General features: G+C 36.6%; 1 protein-coding gene across 4 annotated transcripts, besides 3 other annotated features; it reads left to right on the top strand.

Moving 5' to 3' along the window:
• On the top strand, window positions 68-24,299 carry GCLM (glutamate-cysteine ligase modifier subunit). 4 transcript variants are annotated; one of them, NM_002061.4, is made up of 7 exons: window positions 68-460; window positions 4,910-4,975; window positions 7,829-7,913; window positions 11,600-11,659; window positions 12,678-12,880; window positions 14,770-14,884; window positions 20,339-24,299. In NM_002061.4, the coding sequence occupies exons 1-7, from the start codon at window positions 335-337 to the stop codon at window positions 20,506-20,508; spliced, it is 825 nt and encodes a 274-aa protein (NP_002052.1). In that variant the 5' UTR covers window positions 68-334; the 3' UTR covers window positions 20,509-24,299. The 4 variants fall into 4 exon arrangements, with proteins under 4 accessions (NP_002052.1, XP_047273987.1, NP_001295182.1 ...); XM_047418031.1 differs by lacking the exon at window positions 20,339-24,299 and adding an exon at window positions 15,408-15,609; XM_011541261.3 differs by lacking the exon at window positions 68-460 and adding an exon at window positions 576-833.
• Window positions 195-554: a silencer, noted in NCBI's record as "silent region_1090". NCBI's record gives its function as "represses an Ori minimal core promoter by ATAC-STARR-seq in GM12878 lymphoblastoid cells {active_cell/tissue: GM12878}" and the evidence as "EXISTENCE:reporter gene assay evidence [ECO:0000049][PMID:35858748]".
• Window positions 605-654: a silencer, noted in NCBI's record as "silent region_1089". NCBI's record gives its function as "represses an Ori minimal core promoter by ATAC-STARR-seq in GM12878 lymphoblastoid cells {active_cell/tissue: GM12878}" and the evidence as "EXISTENCE:reporter gene assay evidence [ECO:0000049][PMID:35858748]".
• Window positions 18,429-18,577: a silencer, noted in NCBI's record as "fragment chr1:94356477-94356625 (GRCh37/hg19 assembly coordinates)". NCBI's record gives its function as "represses an EF-1alpha promoter that drives an FKBP-Casp9 reporter gene in an ReSE screen in K562 erythroleukemia cells {active_cell/tissue: K562}" and the evidence as "EXISTENCE:reporter gene assay evidence [ECO:0000049][PMID:32094911]".

The raw sequence follows: 24,744 nt of genomic DNA, 5'->3' as shown, positions 1-24,744 counted from the left end.
CGGTTACGAAGCACTTTCTCGGCTACGATTTCTGCTTAGTCATTGTCTTCCAGGAAACAGCTCCCTCAGTTTGGAATCAGCTCTCCCGCTGCGGCCGCAGTAGCCGGAGCCGGAGCCGCAGCCACCGGTGCCTTCCTTTCCCGCCGCCGCCCAGCCGCCGTCCGGCCTCCCTCGGGCCCGAGCGCAGACCAGGCTCCAGCCGCGCGGCGCCGGCAGCCTCGCGCTCCCTCTCGGGTCTCTCTCGGGCCTCGGGCACCGCGTCCTGTGGGGCGGCCGCCTGCCTGCCCGCCCGCCCGCAGCCCCTTCGCTGCGCGGCCCCTGGGCGGCCGCTGCCATGGGCACCGACAGCCGCGCGGCCAAGGCGCTCCTGGCGCGGGCCCGCACCCTGCACCTGCAGACGGGGAACCTGCTGAACTGGGGCCGCCTGCGGAAGAAGTGCCCGTCCACGCACAGCGAGGAGGTGAGCGTGGCGACACTCGCCGCGGGGCTCCCGGGGCAGGCCTCGGGCGGGGCCGGGCGGTTCCGGCAAGGGAGAAGCGCCCGCGGGCGAGGGAGGGTGGCAGGGCCTCGCGCGCACCTGGGCTCCGCCCGCGGTCAGATGCTGAGGCCAGTGTCGACGCGACCTTGGGTCCAAACCCGCTGCCGAGGGCAACGCGTCTAAAAAACTTAGCCGGTGCAGCTGCGCACTGAGTGACACCTCTCTCGGTGCTTAAGGCTGGTAGCAAAACTCTCAAACATCCTGGGTCCCTCTTCCTGGCACGGAGGTCACAGAGGGCCAGGACGTCGCTCCGTCTCTCTCCACATCTCTCGCTTCCTTCCCCCACCCTGTCCAGGTAAAGGAATATTTTCGGAGATTATCCTTTGGTGCATTCAGATGAAGTAGTATTCATAGTACACCTAACTTTTAGAATGTTGACATTAGACTCTCTATTGCAGTGAGGCAAATGAGTAAGCACTCAATTTTGGCTTTGGAATACCCTAAATACCCTGACTTTAGTCATTACACATTTTATGCACTTATCTGTGCGTCTATGTATGCTTTATCAGTACACATTCTATGCATGTAACAATATCATTGTACATTCTATGCATGTAACAGAATATCACATGTGCCCCATAAATATGTACAAATATAATCTATCAATTCAAAAATTAAAGTTTTGTAAAAACTGGAAAATAAAAAGACTAGTCACTAGTTGGAGGTGACAGAGATTAATCTGGAATTACAAACTTGTTACCTATTTGTTGGCCATTTCTGAGCGGATAGTCATCCACTGCACATTGTGCATATTGGTGGTATGGGACAATTTTAGTATTTAAAAAATAACAAAATCTTTAGATTTAGGAGCTATATGACTTTGGAAAATTACTTTAAAGTTGGATAATAACACCTTCCTCATCAGGTTGTTGTGAGAATTAAGAGGTAATATATGAAAACGCTCACCATGCAGGCATCTATCTCCCTGTCATCTGGTTCCATCAGAAAGATAAATCTTAATTAAGAGAAAAACCTTCCTAAACTATGTGTGTTTAGAAAAACCTTCCTAAATCAGCTGTGTTCCTAAGTGGTTTCTGCTCTCTTCTATGAGATGTTGGTAACAGACCATGCAGCAGCACACGGCATCCCTCTGAGTTAAGTGCTGGACCTGTGCCCAGGCCTGTTGTTGGGGTCAGTGCCCATCAAGAGATGAGAACTCTTGCTTGTAACTTTAGTAGGAATCTGAGTCTGTACCATATTCTGTGTTCACGTTCCAGCTCAGTGTGTATGTTTTGTTTTATTTAAACCACCTACTTTGGCTGTTTCTCCCACAGATAAATATTTCTGTATTCGGTACATAGACTCTTAATTTCTTCCAGTACTGTTGGTGGTAGTTCAATACAGAATTTTGCACGTATATTGATATTATTGGGTGAAATTTTACCTATCTCACAATAGCATACTCTAAAGTAGTGACTCAAAAGAGTTTCTGACTGCAAACACAGTAAGAAGTACATTTTACTTTGCAATCCAGTTAATAGTTGTATAATCAGTATATCTGAAACAGGTTTCACAAAAAGATATTAGCCCTTATACCGTATATTCTGATTTTTTCTTTTATTTTAATTTTTAAAATGTTGATTTCTTGATGCTCAGAGTCACACACCACAGTTTGTAAAACATTGTTCAAAGGACTAATTCTGGTTTCTAGTGTTTTATTTAGGGTGCTTCATAACAGTAGGATAAAACTAAAGAAACTAGAAAACATTTCAGGAAAACTTGAAGGAATGGCATCATACTGTAGGGAAACTATGACTGCTTGGTAAGAGCAAAAGGGGAGGCACATTTTGTTTCTATGTAAAAGAACTTTGTAACACCCAGAGCTCCAAATTGGGATGTACTACTTGGAACAGTTCCGCTTCACTGAAGAAATTAAGTAAACTGAACAAATCACTTATTTTTGAGAAAATGTACGTGTTGGGTCAAGAGTTCAGTTAAATTTCTTACAAGGTCTCTTCTAGTTCTAATTTTTTAAAAAATGTTATGACCTCTGCCCAGATTTTTTGTCTCACTGGAATTTTATGAAATCAAATAGTTTGTAAGTGGACCATTATAGGACTGTTTTGCCCAGTTCTTTGTTGTAAGGGTGTTTGACCGGTTGAATCATGGTATTTAAAAAATTCTTATACAACTCCAGATCTAATGGTAGGCTAAGTTGTGGTGATGCTTATACTCAGTGATATTGGGTGTGTATTATAAGAATGAAGAGAGCGGAGAACAAACATAAACATTAATGTTAATGACAAACATTAACCCAAGTACAAGGTTAATGTTTAGTCAATATAGCAAACATGTAATTTACAAGATTAAAAATAATTAGGCTTGTGATAAAGTCAATGAATTTCCTACGTAATTGTAACATTAGACTGTTTTATTATTTGTCCTGACATTTTGCAGAATCCAAGATTAATTAAAGAAATGGTTTCAAGAAGAGGGTGAATACTATAAAAATAGACTTACCTTCCTGAATTGAGGAATTCATCAGGAAAGCCTCAAGTGTGCAAATGAGCCATCCTTCCAGAGGGAAATTTCTTAGAATTATCCCACGATTTGAGCCAAAGCACTTCCGATAGAATTTTTAACCTCTAGTTGGTTCTGCTCCTTCCATTTTTACTAATTTTTAAGAAAATACTATGACTTATAATTGTATCTGGAATGATTATCAACTCCTTTTCATCCACTGACTTAAATTTGATTATAAATATGCTTTACATAAAGATCTAGACCTTATAATTTGAATTCAAGTGAATTGTTGTGACTAGCATGTAAATTATTATTATGGATTGTAAATCTTAACATAGGTAGTTCTGTGCCCTTAAATTGATAAACCAGTTATCTCTTGTAATCATGTGTACTAAGATATACGTAGTAAAGTGATTGTATCAGTTTTTATCATAAGCAGTCATAGTTCAGATAGTTCAGAAGTTTAGTGTCTGCTGTTTCTATTAGGAAAGTGCTTTTGCAATTCAGGGGCTTGCCTCTAGTTACTCATTTGTGTTTTCATTGATTGCCCACAGAAGAATGCAAAACACTGTGTCCTTGGTTATCTAATAAGGCAGTGATTTCAGATTGCCAGGTTTGGCCCATTAGTGGTCATAAATCAGTTCAGTGAGTCATGGACCAGTATATTTTTTCTAATTAATATATTGGAAGCCATTAGAGTGCCTGGCATGTTGTGAGCATAAATACCGCTTTATGACTGTTTTGTTCCATTATATGTATATAGGTCTTTGCTCACTATGTGAATGTATGTCTTACTTTGGACTACTATCAAATAAGTCTGAAATACACTTTAATAAAGTATGTTTGAATTAATTTACAACATACTATAATATTTGTATAAATTTTTTTTTGTTTATCTAAGAAAACATGGAAGATAGGTTAGAGGTGCACCTAAATGTTACGAAATGACTTCTGGAGTGTCATACAAGTTGAGTTCTGCAAGATATGTCTATCCTGGTGGTTCTCAGACTTTAGAGTACGTAGATAAAGTACTCTCCTTAGGATGCTTGTTAAAATGAAAGTCCAAACTGCTCTTGGAGAATGATTCAGTGGGTCTAGGATTAGGCTCAGGAGTCTGAAATTTTAATAAACAGCACAGGTGAATCTGAGGTAGGATTTACCAGCCACACTTATTCTCTAATAATTTAATTTGTTTGTCTTTGAGAAATGTAGCATAGTTGTGATATGAATTCTAGTCAGACAGCCTGGGCTTGACTCCAAGTTCCTTTGTTTATAAACCTTATTTTTGTTTCTTTATGAATGCCTTTTTTTTTTTTTTTTTTTGGAAATAGAGTCTTGCTCTGTTGCCCAGGCTGGAATGAAATGGCATCATCTCAGCACACTATAACCTCCACCTCCTGGGTTCAAGCAAAATTGTCCTGCCTCAGCCACCCGAGTAGCTACTACAGGCTTGCACTACTAGGCCCACATGATTTTTGTATTTTTAGTAGAGACAGGGTTTCACCATGTTGGCCAGGCTGGTCTTGAACTCCTGACCTCAAGTGATTTGCCCCCCTCAGCCTCCCAAAGTGCTGGGATTACAGGCATGAGCCACTATACCTGGCCTATGAATGCTTTTGTGTCTCAACAGTTAGCTTAAATTTTCACTGGTACAAAAAAAGCTTTAAAGTAATTAGACAACTTCTTTAGTTCAAGAACATTTGAGAAACAAGAGTAGGATGAAAACAGGCCTGAATTTATGTATGTTGAAGGAAACAAAAACCTTGTAGGATTAAAATTGGGGTTTGTATGGTATTTCCTGTTGCTATCTTTTTTTTCCTGCTTATCAAATTAATATATTCTTATTGTAGAAGTACAGAAAAGTATATAGACTTTGATTAACAGTTTCAAAATGCATTCCTTTTGCAGCTTCATGATTGTATCCAAAAAACCTTGAATGAATGGAGTTCCCAAATCAACCCAGATTTGGTCAGGGTAAGTGAAATGTGAATGCAAAAATCATGCAGGTCAAAAAGGAAGTAAAGTAAACAGGAAGTTAATTTCTTCAGTTTTGTGAGGGAAGTCAAATAGGCAATTAGCCATAAACTCTCTGTGGTTGATTTGCTGAGACGGCACTCTGATCCAGTAGGCTTATGCATAAAACAGAAAATCTAGACCGTAGGCAACTCTTTAACCAGACAAGATACTAGGATTCTCATGCTTAATTCTCACCATGGTTTCCTCACTATCAGTGTTTTATTTCAGTTTATATTTGGTCTAGGAGAGGAATGATTATCAATTGTGATTGGTAGATTGCTTTAGTAGACTCAACATCACTAGAAGTAATTTTTCAAATGTCAGTTTCTGATGAAACAATAAGGAACTGTGTTCCACTAAATGTCAGTATATGGCTACTATCATAAATGTTAATGTTCAAAACCCTAAAACACATTTTGAAATCCAACTCAGTCAAAGGCTCACAGCACATTACTTAGGCTACTTTAAAAGTATGGAAAAGGACATGTGCTGGAAATACTGGTTCCCCTGGGCATACTGCAACCATGTAACTCTATAGCTACTATATAGACATTGAGTTATGGTTTTTTTTAAATCAATCTCTGTTTCTCTGAAATGACTGTTTATTCTACTTATGCTTGACTTGTAAACACTTACTGAACCCCTGATACGTGCTGTGAAAGTGCTCAAGAATCATGGGAAAGCCTTTGCCGTTTACTTTGTATGATATTGTAAATGTAAGTTAATATGTATCTGATTTATATGTACTAATATTTTCTCATTATCCTTGTAAATTATTCATTAAAATACATTCAAATAGCCTTTGCTTTTTTCTGCTGCACTCAGGAAAAAAAAAGTTTTGGTTTACAATGCTTGTGATTACAGGCTGGGCGCAGTGGCTCACGCCTATAATCCCAGCACTTTGGGAGGCTAAAGCAGGTAGATCACCTGAGGTCAGGAGTTTGAGACCAGTCTGGCCAACATGGCGAAACCCCATGTCTACTAAAAATACAAAAAAAAAAAAAAAGCCAGGCGTGGTGGTACCCGCCTGTAATCCCAGCTACTCGGGAGGCTGAGGCAGGAGAATCACTTGAACCTGGGAGGCAGAGGTTGCAGTGAGCTGAGATCACACCACTGCACTCTAGCCTGAGCAAGAGAGTGAGACTCTGTCTCAAAAAAATAATAATAATAAAATTAAATAAATAAATAAATAAGAATAAAATGCTTGTGATTATAAAACTAAATATACTATTGTCATAAAATCAGCAATTATGCTCCTTAGTATCTACCCAAAGAAGCTAAGAACTTATTTCCACACACAGACCTATGCATGGATATTTATAGCAGCTCCATTCATAATTGCTAAAATTTGAAGCAACCAAGATGTTCTTCAGTAGGCGAGTGTATATATAAATTATGAATGCATATATAAACTATCCAGACAATATAATATTATTCAGTGCTTAAAAGAAATGAGCTATCAAGCCATGAAAAGACATAGAGGAAACTTGAATGCATATTTCTAAGTAAAAGAAGCCAATCTGAAAAAGCTACATAATGTATGATATCAACTATTTGATATTCTGGAAAAAACAAAACTATGTAGACTATAGTTTTGCTAGTCTAGTAAAAAAAACTAGTAAAAAGATCAGTTGTTGCCAGGGGTTAGCAGGGACGGAGGGATGAATAGGCAGAGCACAGGATTTGTATGTCAATGAAACTACTGCATATGATATTGTAATGGTGGATACATGTTATTATATGGTTTTCTAAATCCATAAACTATGCAGCACCAAGAGTAAACCCTAAGATAAACTGGACTTGGGTGATTATGACATGTCAATGTAGGTTCATCAAGTGTAACAAATGTATACCACTGTGGTGGGTATGTTGATAATGGGGGAGGCTGTGTGGATGTGAGTGTAGGGAGTGAATGAGAAATCTGTTCAATCTACCTTCTACTTGATATTCTTGTGAACCTAAAACTGCTCTAAAAAAAAAGTATATTTAAAAAAAAAAAAACAGGCTGGGCGCGGTGGCTCATGCCTGTAATCCCAGCACTTTGGGAGGCCGAGGTGGGCGGATCACAAGGTCAGGAGATCGAGACCATCCTGGCTAACACGGTGAAACCCTGTCTCTACTAAAAATACAAAAAATTAGTCAGGCGTGGCGGCGTGCACCTGTAGTCCCAGCTACTCGGGACACTGAGGCAGGAGGAATGGCGTGAACCCGGGAGGCAGAGCTTGCAGTGAGCCGAGATCGTGCCACTGCACTCCAGCCTGGGCGACAGAGCGAGACTCTGTCTCAAAACAAAACAAAACAAAACAAACAAACAAAAAAACCCAAAAACTAAATCCCCTTACAGGTTAAAGTTCAAATAACATTAAAATCCAAATAAATTAAAAAGTAAAAGAAAATGCTTGTAATTAATGTAGAACGTGTTTATTATGTCATCTAGAGTGGATATTATTTTCATTGGTTTCTTTTTAGAGTAAAATTATCTGCTGTGCTACTGTTTCTAACTCCTCACATATCCCTCCACTGCTTGTTTATTTTTAATTTTTTTGATCATGCTTCTTTCTAAATACCTGGTCAAAATGAGATACATTTTCCTAGAAAATAGATACACACACACAAACACACACACACACCCCACTTTACCTTTATTTCAGAGCTTTACAACCCTTGTGAAGCCCACCCAGACCTCAGGTAGAGAACTCTGTTGTCTTATAGGTTCTCTGATTCTAAAAGGCATTATGGATAATAGAAAATTTTATAATTAATCAGAAGCATTAAATTTTATATTTGTTTTAAATATTGTGTTTATTATAGGAGTTTCCAGATGTCTTGGAATGCACTGTATCTCATGCAGTAGAAAAGATAAATCCTGATGAAAGAGAAGAAATGAAAGTTTCTGGTAAAGTCCAGTCTTTTCTGTTTATTTTGTTACATAGCGGAAGCGATAGATTTTGTTAGGCATTAGAATAAGCCTTTCTTTGCTCAGACACTAAATGTGGGAAATACAGAAATTCTTTTTTAGCATAATTTTACTTAAACTCCAAGATGGAGTTATAAGAGGTCAGTGCTGGCTATTATATAAGAGTCAGAATAGAACTTCAACTTGCTGTTCTTCATGATGATGTCATCATGTCATGTAATTTATGTGTCAAACTTCAGAGCAGTAGAAAGATTAAGATGAAGGAGATGGAAAGGATAAAGGGAAGGCTTAGAAGCAGCATCCACCCAAAGCAAGCATAAGCACCCCCTTCCTGGTAAGATACTGGTAAGCAATGTGTGAGGTCACCTGGGAATATAAAAAGAAACCTGGGCAAGTTACATGAAGAGAAAGAAAATACTGTAACACCCATTCAGGAAATGTAGTAAGTGACAAATTCCAGAAACTGTACTATACTCAAGGAATACAAAAATGAAAAGATGCGCCATCTCTGCCCTCACCTTACAATTAGCATAGCATAGTCATTAAAAGCTTGAGCTTTGAAGTTTCGGGGTGTGCAGATTACAGGCTAGTATAATGTTGGGCTAACAAAGACTTTAACCTCCCTGAGTCTCAGTTTTCTCTTCTATAAAATGGGGATGTACCTGTTTCTCCGGCTTCTTTGTAAACTGGATGAAATAACAAAAGAAGCACTTAGCACAGTGTTTGCCTCAAAGTAAGTTCTAGGTAGCTATTATTTGCTACCATGTTGTTATTATTGTGGTTGTTGCTATTTTATTATTATTGAGATGGATAATAATAATAAATTACATGTAAGATGAGATAGGGTATTGTCTCTTTTTAATCTAATTATAGTAACTACCATTTATTGAGTCTTGCTTTGTGCCAGGCACTGTGCTTGGTACTTTATGGTTATATTTTCTCATTTAATTCTCAAGACAATCCTGCAAGTTAAGTCTGTTACTGCATTGCATTAGTGATACTAAATAACTTGAAGGTTGTCATACAACCAGTAAGTGGTTGAACCAGGAATCCACTCAGGTATGCCTAACTCCAAAACCCATTTTTTCCTGTTAATTTCACATTGCTGTTTGTGTTGGAAAGGACGTAAAGCAACATTCTTTCTGAGGTTGACTGTAATTCATGATTTAGTTCCATCTTGGGTCTCTTAGAAGTCCTCAGTTCCTAGAGGGCTTGAGATTTTTTTATAGGTATCAAAATTCTCCCCATATAAAGAGCTTTCCTCTTTCTACCTATCCAAAAAAGCCTCATCCTTCAGAGAGAAGAGGCCATTTCAGATGGCACAAATTCATGGACAGAGAAATAGTATTGGGGGGGGCTTTCATAGAGTTATAGGGGCTAAAGTTAGACCAAAATAGTAAATACTGACTCTCATCTAGTAGAGAAGCTAGGATGGCTGTTCAATAGGGAGTAATCTCAGGGAAGCAGTGTTTTTAGGGAGATCACCTAGCAGTAGGAAGGAAGGGACTCATATAAGAAACGTAGAAGAAAATGTGTTGCATATATCGAATGTCAGCACTTTATGTAAGGGTATTTCATTAGCCTTATTTTTCTCCATTTCCTCTTTTGATTTTTTTTGTTGCTCTTCTGCTACTCTACCTGTTTGTCTATTGAATACATTTATTTTTTTGAACAGTGAGTTTACATAAAGTAAATATGTACATATAAAGTTGAATTTGAATGAAACCAAAACCTCAATATTACAAATATAGAAAATGACTCAACTTTCCTAGTAACCAAAGAAATGACAATTAATGTGGTCTTGGGTAGGTATGCATTGTACCTACTAAGTTTTAAAAAAAAATTAATAATAGCATCCTATGTTGTTAGAAGAGCAATTGTTAATTGGTGGTGGTGTGGTAAACTGGCACACATCTTTTAAAATATAATAAGACTCACACAAAACGTCACATGCTTTGACTCATAATAACATTTCTAACAATTCATCCCTGGGAAATTATATAGTATAATGCTGAATAAAAAGTTACTAAGATGTTTGTTTTGGCATTATATATGCGAAAACAGAAAACTGGAACTAGTACTGGAACATTTACTAACCTAAATGTTCAATAAGTAGAACTCATTTAATAAATGACACTCTTCAAAATTTACAAAATAATATTCAACCATTAAAAAATGAGCATGTAAAATTGGCTGGGCGCAGTGGCTCACGCCTGTAATCCCAGCACTTTGGGAGGCGAGTCGGGTGGATCACTTGAGGCCAGGAGTTCGAGACCAGCCTGGACAACATGGCAAAACCCCGTCTCTACTAAAAATACAAAAATTAGCCAGGCATGGTGGCGCAGGCCTATAATCCCAGCTACTTGGGTGGCTGAGGCATGAGAATTGCTTGAACCCAGGAGGAGGTTGCAATGAACCAAGATGGCACCACTGGGCGACAGAGTGAGACTCTGTCTCAAAAAAAAAAAGTATGTAAAATTATACACTAAAAACATAGAATACGTTCAAGGCCACCCCTAAGTGGAAAAAAAGCCACAGAATACACAGAAATCTAAACAGTAATTTGGGTGATGAGACTGGCAATTCTTTTTGGTCTTTCTGCTTTTATAGGTCTTCGTTATTTCTACAGTAAGCACATGACTATTAGGATAAAAAAAATCTTGGCCTGGTGTGGTGCTGTAATCCTAGCACCTTGGGAAGATTGTTTGAGACCGGGAGTTCAAGAGCCCCTGGGCAACATATCGAGACCCTGTGTCTACAAAAAAATGAAAATTAGCCAGGTGTATTGGTACATGCCTGTAGTCCTAGCTACTTGGGAGGCTGAGGTGAAAGGAACACTTGAGCTCAGAAGGTTGATGCTGCAGTGAGCCGTGATCGCACCACTGCACTCCAGCCTGGATGAAAGTGAGACCCTGTCTCAAAAAAAAAAATTGTGGTGATTCACACCTGTAATCACAGCACTTTGGGAAGCCGAAGCGGGAGGGTCCTTTGAGGCCAAGAGTTCAAGGCCAGCCTGGGCAGTATAATGAGACCCTGTCTCTACAAAAAATTTTTAAAAGTAAAGAAATTTTAAGATAACTAAATACTACATAGACATATATTTTAAATATTTATTACATAAAGGTAAACCAAATAGAAGAGGAAATAATGTTATGCCCTACTTCATATGACCAAAAACTGGAAGATAGTGTCTGAAAATGAAAATGATTGTATTGGGAAGGTAGAATTGTGGCCTTTTTTTTTTTTTTTTTTTTTTTTTTCAGTTTTCTTCTCATTACATTTTCAATTTAGTCTTTGTATATAGATTTTGGTTTATTGGAGAATATATAATGTGCTCTATTAATGTTTAAGTCATAAAAATATAAATTTCAAGTAATTTAAGCTCCAATAGTTATCTAACCTGCCTTCTAATAAATGGGAAATAAATATTTACTTTTTGTTTTGATAAACATATATTTGTTGGCAACTAGCACATGATTTTAAAAGTATAGTGGAACTATACATTTATGTCTTAAAATTAAAACTATAAAGTTATGTGACTGGGAAAGGAAAAATAATTCATTCAGGATTATCTGACATCTTAGTATTATAGTAGTGTTAATACTAGCATATAGTGAAATGTGTATCCAAATGTAGTAATCAGTTTTGTTTTCTTTGTTACCCAGCAAAACTGTTCATTGTAGAATCAAACTCTTCATCATCAACTAGAAGTGCAGTTGACATGGGTAAGCAAAAACTGAATTTTTTATCTTAATAGTGGACTTTAAATTAGTATAGGTGTATTAGTTATAACTTGTGCTTAGGTCCAGGTAAAAAGAAAATGAGTTGATTCCAATTTTACCTTTTAAAGTTCTAGCTTAGTTTCTTAAGGCTTCTGTAAAATCATACTGACTTATGTAGGGTCATATTTTGATATGCAAGAGGAATGTAAAAGGTGTAATGTACTTAAATGTTCACTATCCGTTTGGAGATAGAAGTTCTTATTCTTAGCCCTTTTAGTACTAGAGGTGAAATATCAAAACCAAACAACGGCAAAAAAAAAAAAATCCAAAAAAAATCCAAGTATATCTGTTTTTAGCACTTAGGTTATTGTGATATTAAAGTTATTCAATACTTAAATAAAAAATTATTCCAGTATTTACATATATTGAAAACTTAAATAATTGGCTCTTTAATGTAACTTTAGAATGAATAATCATTTAAAATAAGCTCTTAAATTATTTTTATAGAATTAAGAAATTATCTACCTCTATAAATATGGATTAAGACCAAACATTCAGTTTTTCAGTGTCTCAAGCTTATTCTTTGCTGTGACTACTAGTTACAGAATATTAGGTCATAATTCTTGTGATCATCCATATGCGATAGTAGTGAGCAAGTAGAACTGGAGAAGAAAATTTTATGAAGATAAGGGAGCTACTAAAAACTTCTGGGACCTAGGAAACAAGAAGAAATTTTGTTCCCTAGAAAGAGGAGCATGTAGTAGTAGCTGCAAGCTGCCTAGGAATAAGGCAGGTCAGAGAAACCCACTTGTCTGCCACACAGAGCAAGTAGGTAAATGGGCACTTACACATTTTTGAAAGATAGAAATGTTCTAAATGAAAAGTAAACTATGAAATAATCTGTTATTTTGAAAACAAGTGAAGAATATGGACAGAATTCAGTGGGATACTTTGAAAACATTAGAAATATTTGTTTTTATGATGTAAGCATTTATTTTCTTTGTGTCTTCCTTCCTATCAGCCTGTTCAGTCCTTGGAGTTGCACAGCTGGATTCTGTGATCATTGCTTCACCTCCTATTGAAGATGGAGTTAATCTTTCCTTGGAGCATTTACAGCCTTACTGGGAGGAATTAGAAAACTTAGTTCAGAGCAAAAAGATTGTTGCCATAGGTACCTCTGATCTAGACAAAACACAGTTGGAACAGCTGTATCAGTGGGCACAGGTGAGGGATGGCAGGATCATGAGCACTCCAGGAAGAACTTGCCCTTTTCAGTCTTTGCTGCACACTGTTGAGCATCATGCACATAGTGGCCACCCCTGCGGGGTGACTTTTCCACATGTGGGAGTTTTGTTTTGTTTCTGCAGGAGTTTTGAGGCAGGTTTTATCTAAATCATTTGAGGTTTTTGTTTGTTTTTATTTAAATATATCTCTGATTGAACTGAATGTTAATCCTGGTTAAAATGAGTGACAAAAATACTAGAAGATGTGTGTTAAAACATTTATACCAAATGAATTAAGGCCATTTCCTTCAGTTCTACTTATGTGCTGAAAACAATAATACCTAAAGAAAAACCTTACGGCCGGGTGTGGTGGCTCACATCTGTAATCCCAGCACTTTGGGAGGCCGAGGCGAGCAGATCATGAGGTCAGGAGTTCGAGACCAGCCTGACCAACATGGTGAAACCCTGTCTCTACTAAAAATAAAAAAATTAGCCAGGCATGGTGGCGTGCACCTGTAATCCCAGCTACTCAGGAGGGTGAGGCAGGAGAATCACTTGAACCTCAGAGGCGGAGGTTGCAGTGAGCTGAGATTGCGCCACTGTACTCCAGCCTGGGTGACAGAGCAAGACTCTGTCTCAAAAAAAAAAAAAAAAAGAAAGAAAAACCTTCTTTTTCTTTAGGTACTATTAGACCATGGCTCTAATTTCCTAAGTAAGGGAATATTTTATATATAACAGATATTTTGCTGTTATTCAAAGATGTGTAAGACTGTCAGTTCATACAACTTGATATGGAGTGAGTGTCATAAATTAATTATTCCCACTCTCTGGTCTAATAACCTACAAAATTATTAGGAAAGTCACTTACTAGCGTTTTACCTTTACTCTCAGTATTTCTTTATTCCTTTTACTTCTTCTTCAGCCTTCTCCTTTTCAGAGCTTTCAGAGTTTCTTATGGACAGGAAGACCTAGAGAAAGTATTTCCCCTTCTCCTTGATGATAGCCAGAATGAGGACAAGAAAGTATTGGAGAGACTTAGATGATTCAGAATGTAAATTAACCAGTGTAGCTACTGGAAGCTGTCAATTCTTCTCTTTCAAAATGTGTCTGATTCATAGCCATATTTTATACTTTAACATTAAAGGTATTTACTTGTATTTGATCCTTTACCTTTAAGAACTATTTGCTCTGTAGCTGAAACCATCACACTTAACAAACTAACAAAAATCATGTTTGTGTTCTAGGCAGATGTATTAGATTGTTAAATGGTTCTAGCAGGAGACTTTTTAATAGTGTAGTACCAGGCTGGGCATGGTGGCTCATGCCTGTAAGCCCAGCACTTTGGGAGGCCGAGGTGGGTAGATCACCTGAGGTCAGGAGTTCAAGACCAGCCTGACCAACATGGTGAAACCGCGTCTCTACTAAAAATACAAAAAATTAGCTGGGCATGGTGGCAGGCACCTGTAATCCCAGCTACTTGGGAGGCTGAGGCAGGAGAATTGCTTGCACCTGGTATGTGGAGGTTGCAGTGAGCCAAGATCACGCCACTGTACTCCAGCCTGGGCGACAGAGCAAGACTCCATCTCAAAAAAAAAAAAAAAAAAAAGTGTAGTACTGTTGGCTTTTTCGTTCCCCTAGTGTTACACTTCCTTTCCCTATTACATAGGGAAAAGGTAATAGGGAATTCCTATTCCCTATTACTACTAACCTGGGTTAGAAAAGCATATATTAATAAAGATATTAATGTAAAAGTATTTTGTAAACTTTAATCACTGTGGATTGTGATTTTTCATATGTTCTAAAATTAAGTTATTTTATTGCTTATTGCTTTCTACTTTTGGTATTATATTTAATTTAGTAGTGATATCATGATTTTATTTTCACTTCTAGGTAAAACCAAATAGTAACCAAGTTAATCTTGCCTCCTGCTGTGTGATGCCACCAGATTTGACTGCATTTGCTAAACAATTTGACATACAGCTGTTGACTCACAATGATCCAAAAGGTAAAACTGATATTTTCATTATAGAGATTGATCATAAGCTTTTGTCTTACAAAAAGGTATTTGTTGATACATAATTTTAAATGTGGACAGTGATAAAAATACAGTGTTATCTGAACTATTCTTAATGGTTAGTTCAAAACCTATATGCCCTCATTTTATTTTCAGAAAACTTTATCTCTGTACCAATGGGGAAAAAAAAGTGAAGGGATCATTTCCTGAACATCTGGTCTTTTGAGGTTCACAAATATTAAACTACACAGAAAAGATCTTTTGAGACATTCTAAATAGTAATATATATAATCCTATCTAGTATAGCAAAGACTGGACCAAAAGGCCACTTGATTTTTTTAGTTTTGAGATGGAGTCTTGTTCTGTCGCCCAGGCTGGAGTGCAGTAGCATGATCTCAACCTGACTGCAGTCTCCACCTCCCGGACTCAAGCTCTCCTCCTGCCTCAGCCTTCCGAGTAGCTGGGACTACAGGCGCATACCACCACACTTAGCTAATTTTTCTATTTTTTGCAGAGACAGGGTTTCACCATGTCACCCAGGCTGGGCTTGAATTTCTGGACTCAAGCAATTCCCCCACCTCGGCCTCCCAAGGTGCTGGGATTTTAGGCATGAGCCACTGTGCCTGGACAAAAGGCTACTTTATTCAAGGAGATAAATATCTGGAAAAAGTGGCACATGTAATTTAATTCAAAACTTAATAAGCATCTTAGGATAGGTAAGTAGGTATTTTATTAAGACGTTTAGTGTTAATCAGAAATATTTGATTAATGAGAATGGCTTGTCTGCCTTTTATAGAATAATTTTTTACAACATTTTGTAAGATAACTAGAAAGACTTGGAAGATAATATTGAACATAACTTGCAAAGATAAATGTTTCAGAGAGCCTGTATATTATTAAGTAATGTATATTACTACATATTTTTGGTATAAATGAGAAATGTTTGGTTATAAGTGAGAAATGTCTTGTGAAAGTTTTAATTCTCGATGACATTTTTATAGAAGTTCTGATTTAATAAATATTAGAGGAAATTATATTTCATAGATAATTCCCGCCGAAAAAATATTCAGCTTTTATTTCCATACCTAAAAAGATGACACAATATCAGTGGGTTGATTCAGTTTGCTCATTTTAAGAATGCTATGGATAATCTATTAAGACTTTATACTATTTATTAGCAGTCTACTTCATTCTCATTTCTTCACTGTTTCATCAGAGGAGGGGGAGATGGAGGAGAAAGAGTTTTAATAGTTATTTTTCCTTGAATGCCAAGCATCATGCCAAATGCCTCAGAGAGATTATCTATAATCCTCACAACAACGGAAACTATACATTTTTTTTGTCAGGAAATAGAGCCTCAGAGTGAAAGGAACTAGCCAAGGTCACCCAGCTGGCTTTGGGCAAAGTTTGAACTTGGCCTAAGTCTTGGATTATTTTGGAGCCTTTTCCACTATACAATCTCTTTGATTTGAAACATTAGTATTACAGTATTACAGTCTGAAAACTTCATCCATTTTCATTTAAATCATACCAGAATAAAATACAGTGACTTTTGCCTTCCCAGTAGAGCTTTCACAATCAAGTAAATTGATTTTTTAAGCCATTTTAGTGAAAATCTAACAAATTGTTATGCTGATTTATTCTGAACTATAAGTCATTTAAATTTTAACTTTCCATATGTTGGCAGATGTCATGTGTCTGTTTACTTTTTGGAGGCTCTTCTAACAGTAATTGTTACCAACAGCTGATGATCCAGCCTGTACCCTCTTCTAGCTTCACTTGAAAAAAACTCAATCCTTTTACTAGTAGGAAAGGAAGTAGGAAAAGATTAAGGTTCCTAGTGTTTTATTTTCACATATCTAAATGTTGACATTTAGAATGTGTGCTAATACATTATTGTTATGGCAAAATATATTGCATATGTATATGAGGAGAGAGATTTAATCCTTTTTTATATTTTTTGTATTACATAATTTGATACTTAGTTGTCTTTTTTAATTCTAAGACTTTTGGTGAAAATGTATAGGCTTATCCTGCATTTATCATTAATGAACCTTCAGACACTTTAATCTATAATGAAGCAACTCTCGATTTAATTTGTCATGTTTACTGACTAAAGAGTTCAACCATAATTAAATTTTAAAAGCAGTTAAATGAATAGCATAGTCTCTGATTTTGTGTCATATTTTTTATTTTTTTAAGCAACCAAACTGAAAAAACTGTAAAACATTTAACTCTGTAAAATTTAACTCTGTAAAACTGTAAAACATTTAACTCTGCTTGTCATCTAAAATAGAATTTTGTTTATAAATTCCCTGAAGGTCTACCCCTGTTCTAAAAATTACCCTTACTCCCCATAATGGGTTTATTTTCCATTACCCTTTGTTCTAGAAGTGTAATAACAATTTAACTAGAGAGTAAAATTGTAAAGTAGATGATCCTGAATTTAGAACTTTCCATTTTTATTTGTTCCCCGCCCCCCATTTCGATTAAATCCAATCTGTATTATGTCTCTTTCCCTCAGGGTCTTCTCTGTTAGAAAATCTGATAAACAAATCCATATTAATGTTACTTTTCCAAGGAGACATTTGTGTTCTATATATGAAAACTACCATTTACTAGTGGTGTGACCTTGGCCAACTTACCGAACCTCTCTGCCTTGGTTTCCCCCCATAAAGAGATAATAGAATCTATCTCATAGGGTTAGCATGTGGATTAACTGAGTTAATACATGTAAAGTACTCAGAAAAGTACCTCGCACATGAAAATAGCTAACATTGATTGAGCGTTTACTGTTAATGCTATTCAGGTATCACAGCAGTTTGGGAGTAGGTGGGTCCTTTAGCACTCCGAAATCAAACTGTGAAGATGCTCACTTAATCCCTATCTGTAGGTTGCTTCTGACCCCAGTGGAATCTTTCCATATTGATTGATGCATTTAATAGACGTTTGAGCACCATTTGCCAGCCATTGTTCTGGGTACTAGAGATAAAGGATCAAGTCAGACAAAAACCAACCCTCATGGAATTTATATTCTAATGGGAGGAGACAGACAATAAAATAAATGTTACATATGATAAGTGGTAGTATATGCTATGGAGATAACTTGGCTGAAGGAGAAAGAGTATCCAAGTTAATTGTTGTTTTATATGGTACAGTCAGAGAGGCCTCTCTACTAAGGGAATGTTAATCAGAGACCTGCAGGAAGGGAGTGAGCCATGTGAATATCTGGAAAAAGTGTGTTCAAGGAAAAGGCAGAAGCTAATTCAGAGGCTCCAAGGTGTGAATGTGCTTGAGGTTTTCAGGATACAGCAAGGAGGTGAGGCCAGTGTGGCCAGAGGAGTGAGGCAGTGAGGAGAGGAGTGGTGGGATATGGCATCAGAGCAGTCATAGAGAGCTTGGATATAAACTTGGAATTTGCTGGGCATGGTGGCTCACACCTGTAATCCCAGCACTTTGGGAGGCCAAGGCAGGGGATCACTTGAGTCCAGGAGTTTGAGACCAGCCTAAGCAACATAGTAAGACCTCATATCTACAAAAATAATAATAATAATAATTAAATTAGCTGGCCTTGGTGACGCACACCTCTAGTCCTAGCTACTCAGGAGAATGAGGTGGAAGGATGCATTGAGCCCAGAAGTTTGAGGCTGCAGTGAGCTGTGATCATGCCACTGCACTCCAGCCTGGGCAACAGAGTAAGACATTGCCTCAAAAAAAAAAAAAAATAGAAAAGAAAAAAAGAATTGGCACTGCGGCACTCTCAAATTATCAACTGCTGGTAGAAGTGTAAAGTATAGCCTTTCTGTAAAGCAGTTGGCAATATAGCGTGTATCTAGCTTTAAGAATGTACTTGTACTTTGGCCCTTCATTCCACAGCCAGGCATGCATTTTAAAATGTTCATCATCTGCATCATTGTGACGGTTTGTTTCTTCCATATTTGGAGATAAATTTATGTGTAGACTTTTTTTTTGTAAGACATAGTTGATAATGAAAATTTATTTAAATGGTCTTGCAATGATTTAAGTATTCAAATGCTTAAAGAAAGCATTGCTGGTACAAATATTTCTATTTTTAGAAAGGGTTTTTATGGATCAATGCCCCAAGTGTCATCAGAGCCATTGGTGTTTTCATTTTTAAAATGTCACCTGTAAAATGGGCATTATTTATGTGTATATGGCTTTTTTTGGCATTCCTGATAAATGTATTATATAAAGTCTATACATTGGATAATAACACTAGTATATTTAAACTTACAGACTTATTTGTAATGCAAACCACCATTTTAATGTACTGTAATTAATATGGTTATAATATATATATAGTCCTTCTGTCCTACCATCACACAACTTTTTGTGTGTGTAATAAACCGCTTTTGGTTTGAAAATATTTTTCGAGGCCGGGCACGGTGGCTCACACCTGTAATCCTAGCACTTTAGGAGGCCAAGGTGGGTGGATCACCTGAGGTCAGGAGTTCGAGACCAGCCTGACCAACATGGTGAAACCCCATCTCTACTAAAATATAAAATTAGCCAGGCATGGTGGTGCATGCCTGTAATCCCAGTTACTTGGGAGGCTGAGGCAGAAGAATTGCTTGAACCCGGGAGGTGGAGGTTGCAGTGGGCCAAGATCACACCATTGCACTCCAGCCTGGGCAACAGAGTGAGATGCCATCTCAAAAAAAAATATATATATATATATTTTTTAAAAAAAGAATGTTTATCCTGGCATTATTCTTATTAGCAAAATATTAGGAAAAACATAAATGTTTTGACCAATAATAAGGAAATATATGAATTATGATATCTATGTAATATAGTAATGGGGAAATTATTAAAAATGATCTTTTCACAGACTATTACATGGGAAAATATTCACAATATAAGTGGAAAAAGATAAGCAAATAAGGCTTTAACTACAGTGTGATTTCTAATTTTGTAAGATATGGATATACACACACACATACAGATATAAGATCTAGAGATATATAGAGATTCAAGATATGGATGAAGATATATATATATATATGAAGATATATACTCATATACACCAAAAAAGTTGTAAGGAAATGCATGACAATGTTATATCATCTCCAATTGATAGGATTATCAGTTACTTTTTTTTTCTTTAGACTTTCCTGTATTTTCCCTGACTATACATTAGAATCACCTGGAGATCTTTAAAAAACTGCAGATGTCTAGGCTCCACTCACCAAAAGTTAAGAATTAAATAGGCTGGGGTACAGGTGTAGATACTTTTTAAATAACTGCCTGGGAATTTCTAATATTCTGGTTCAGATTCATAGCACACACATGAAGAATAAGCATATTATATATTAAATGTTGAGGTGTTTCTTTTGTTATGTTAAATGCTTACCTACATACTAAAGTGCTTTTTTGTTTTCCAATTTAACACGCTGGAGTTTTGTTTGTTGTTGTTTCTTTTAGAACTGCTTTCTGAAGCAAGTTTCCAAGAAGCTCTTCAGGAAAGCATTCCTGACATTCAAGCGCACGAGTGGGTGCCGCTGTGGCTACTGCGGTATTCGGTCATTGTGAAAAGTAGAGGAATTATCAAATCAAAAGGCTACATTTTACAAGCTAAAAGAAGGGGTTCTTAACTGACTTAGGAGCATAACTTACCTGTAATTTCCTTCAATATGAGAGAAAATTGAGATGTGTAAAAATCTAGTTACTGCCTGTAAATGGTGTCATTGAGGCAGATATTCTTTCGTCATATTTGACAGTATGTTGTCTGTCAAGTTTTAAATACTTATCTTGCCTCCATATCAATCCATTCTCATGAACCTCTGTATTGCTTTCCTTAAACTATTGTTTTCTAATTGAAATTGTCTATAAAGAAAATACTTGCAATATATTTTTCCTTTATTTTTATGACTAATATAAATCAAGAAAATTTGTTGTTAGATATATTTTGGCCTAGGTATCAGGGTAATGTATATACATATTTTTTATTTCCAAAAAAAATTCATTAATTGCTTCTTAACTCTTATTATAACCAAGCAATTTAATTACAATTGTTAAAACTGAAATACTGGAAGAAGATATTTTTCCTGTCATTGATGAGATATATCAGAGTAACTGGAGTAGCTGGGATTTACTAGTAGTGTAAATAAAATTCACTCTTCAATACATGAATGGAAACTTAAATTTTTTTTTATGTGTCCTTGCTTATAGTTTAGCTGTAATAATTTAACCTTGTATTCTTGTGCCATATTCTGTCTTTTTATTACTTATAAAGACAAACCAAAGTAAATCTGAAAGGAGACTAGAAGCTTTGAAATTATTGTTTGGGGGTTTTATAAAAGCAACTACTGTCACCTCCATCCAGATTCTTTTAAATTATTGATCCATCCATAGTATATATTGCTACTCATTCAAGAATCCTCAATAAGTATTGAGTATTTACCATATGTTGGGATACTGTGGGCTCTGGAGAGAGGAGGGGGCAATAGAGCTAGGAATTAAGAATCAGTTGAGTAAAATGTGTAATATTTATTCCCCATTAATAACTGACTAGGAAGGACTAAAAGCCAGAAAGGGGATGAAAAAAAAATCCTTAATTCAGGGCCGACATTATCTACTTAAACAACTTTGAGATATGGTCTTAATTATTTTAAAGCAGAATAATATAATTGAAAGTTTATAGCTAAAAGAGACTATATAGGTCATTTAGTATAATTCTTCATTAGTTTACGAACCACAAAATTGCAAATAAATAAGCTATGAACTTTGATGTACACTATAAATCTCCTTAATTCTATAAATTTGTGTCTGTAACCTGAATAGTTTGAAAACTTCTTTAAAAATCTCTTGTATTTCATCCGGGCGCAGTGGCTCACACCTGTAATCCCAGCACTTTGGGAGGCCGAGGTGGGCAGATCACGAGGTCAGGAGTTTGAGACCAGCCTGACCAACATGGTAAAACCCCATCTCTACTAAAATACAAAAATTGGCTGGGCGTGGTGGCACTCGCCTGTAATCTCAGCTACTTGGGAGGCTGAGGCAGGAGAATCGCTTGAACCCGGGAGGCGGAGGTTACAGTGAGCCGAGATCACATCACTGCACTCCAGCCTGGGCGACAGAGCGAGACTCCATCTCAAAAAAAAAAAAAAACTCTTGTATCTCAATATTTTTAAACCACAGGCCTAAATAAAACTAATTTTGCTCAAGTTTTCTCAACCTAGGGAAAAAGAACTATGGTTCCATATTCAAAATAAATATTATAGACCCTTTTCCTAAGTAGGATTTTGTGGTTTACTGATTGGGTAATTTGATCATTAAAATTATGTGAAATCTGCCCGGGCACACCTCATGCCTGTAATCCCAGCACTCTGGGAGGCCAAGGCAGATGATCACCTGAGGTCAGGAGTTCTAGACCAGCCTGGCTAACATGGTGAAACCCTGTATCTGCTAAAAATACAAAAATTAGCCAGGCGTGGTGGCGGGCTCCTGTAATCCCAGCTACTTTGGAGGCGAGGCACGAGAATCGCTTGAACCTGGGAGGCGGAGTTTGCAGTGAGCCGAGATCACGCCATTGCACTCCAGCCTGGGCGACAGAGCGAGACTGCGTCTCAAAAAAAAAAAAAAAAGAAAAATTATGTGAAATCATGTGATTTGCCTGGGAAAACTTGTTTAGATATTGAGCTACTTATGCCTTCTAGCCTTTATATTAATTGTATGTAATGTTATTAAATATATATATAGTTCATCTTTACATTTGGAAATGCCCAACATTTTTTTCATATAAGTCCTTAAACAAGCGTTCATTTTATTTTAAATCTATACAGTGAACTGGCCAAGATATTTTAAGAGGGAACTTTAATATCCCATTTATTGTTTTTATAACCCTGGACTTATAAAAATGGGTTGTTTGAAGGGTTATTTTGAAAGTGGGGGAAAAAAAAACTTAGTTGCTAATGTATCTAAACTTCAGCAGAGCTTTTTGGTGATCTCCTACCTGCACCCTCAACTCTTGACAAAGAAGCAAGACTATAGATTCATTTTCTGAAGGGGATCATGTATGGAATTTTTTGATGAGTTTTTACTTTTACCTCTCTACTCTTGATTTTCTATTATTGAATACTCTTTTAAAACACTGATTTTTAAGGCTTTATATATGTTTTCCAGGCTGATGTTCACATCTTTTTTTCATGAACTATCAGAATATAGTGAACACTTTTCAAATATTTAAGGACTTAATGTTTAAAAAGCCATAAAATAGAGAGTGGTAATACTACCAAATAATTACTTAAAACTGAAAGCTAAGTTATCAATAGTTTATATAAGAGATGTTTTCTGAGGAGATGTGCATCCAGTGAGACCAAGGTAGAAAGTTTATATAATTGTTTTTTTTCCAGTAAATATGAAAAAAAAAGCTGTAGCTTGTTTATTACATGTCCAAAATACAGTGGAGCCTTACTTTAACACAATGTACTGTAACTTGGAATTTGTTCTGTTATGAGTCTATCTTGAATTCCCATCCATGAAACTGTAGTCACCAAAAGCAACAAGTATTTTCACATGATGTAAAAGACCATACTATGATGGCCATTGCTAGAAATTGAATCACAAATAATAGCTAATAATTTTTCATTTTTCAAAAAAGATCATTTGGATAGCAGCTATGTATAAAATGGAAAATAAAAAATTATTCTATTTTGCATGAATAGTTCAGACTTTCCCATACCACAGCCAAGCAGTAACTAAAATTAGGATCTTAATTTTCAATGATAAAAGGTCTAAGGTTCATTTAATTATGCTCCTTTAACACTGTCTTTCTAGATTTTTCACCCAGTATTTTCAAAATTTGGGAATGTAAACAATTGATATATTTATTGTATGTTGGCTAGCAGTTCATCCTTCTGCAAAATATGCATTCAGAGAAATGTGAAGCTTGTTTTAATGAAGACTTAAACCATTTGTGTCATTTGTGTTTTCATATTCAAATACACCAAATTAAAATTCTGAACCTATATTTTTCATCATTAACTTCCTAATATACCAGAACATATACCTTTTTCATGTAAAGTTGGCAATGGGATATGGCAGTTTTATTTTTGAAAAATATGTAACATGACTTTAATATTTTTATAGTTTTCAGAATTAGAAACATAGGAAGGGAAAATGTTTTAATTAGATAAGTCAACTTTTTATGTGTCTGTAGTGGTGTACTATAATAGCAAATTATAAAGCATTATTAAATGTTTATAATAATTTTTAATATTACCTACATTATGAATTTAACTAAAATAAAGTGTGAGTTGTATATTTTTTAATTGGGTTGTTTCAATAGCTGGAAGCATCCTGAAGCATTATATTGATTTTTGAACTATTTGAACTCAAACTGAGTATGATTTGAAAATAAATTAATAATTTAAAAACATCCAAATCATAAAGCTATTTATGCATTCATTCATTCCACAAAGATTTATTGAATGCCTGCTATGTGTTAGGCACTGTGCTACAGATGGACACAGATGAAAAATAACTCCTATACCCAAGGAATATACGATATATTTGGGGGGAAAGGGAGGAATCTGTATGTGAATAAGAGCAATAAAAGGCTGCATCTGTTGGCTGGGCGCAGTGGCTCACACCTGTAATTCCAGCACTTTAGGAGGCCGAGGCGGGCAGATCACTTGAGGCCAGAAGTTCGAGACCAGCCTGGCCAACATGGTGAAACCCAGTCTCTACTAAAAATACAAAAATTATTCGGGCATGGTGGTACATGCCTGTAATCCCAGCTACTTGGGAGGCTGAGGGATAAGAATCACTTGAACCTGGGAGGTGGAGGTTGCAGTGAGCCGAGATCACACCACTGCACTCCAGCATGG

The sequence above is a fragment of the Homo sapiens genome, chromosome 1 (genome assembly GCF_000001405.40).
Source record: "Homo sapiens chromosome 1, GRCh38.p14 Primary Assembly".
NCBI classification, from domain to species: Eukaryota; Metazoa; Chordata; class Mammalia; order Primates; family Hominidae; genus Homo; species Homo sapiens.
This window is presented reverse-complemented; position numbering and strand designations above follow the sequence as displayed.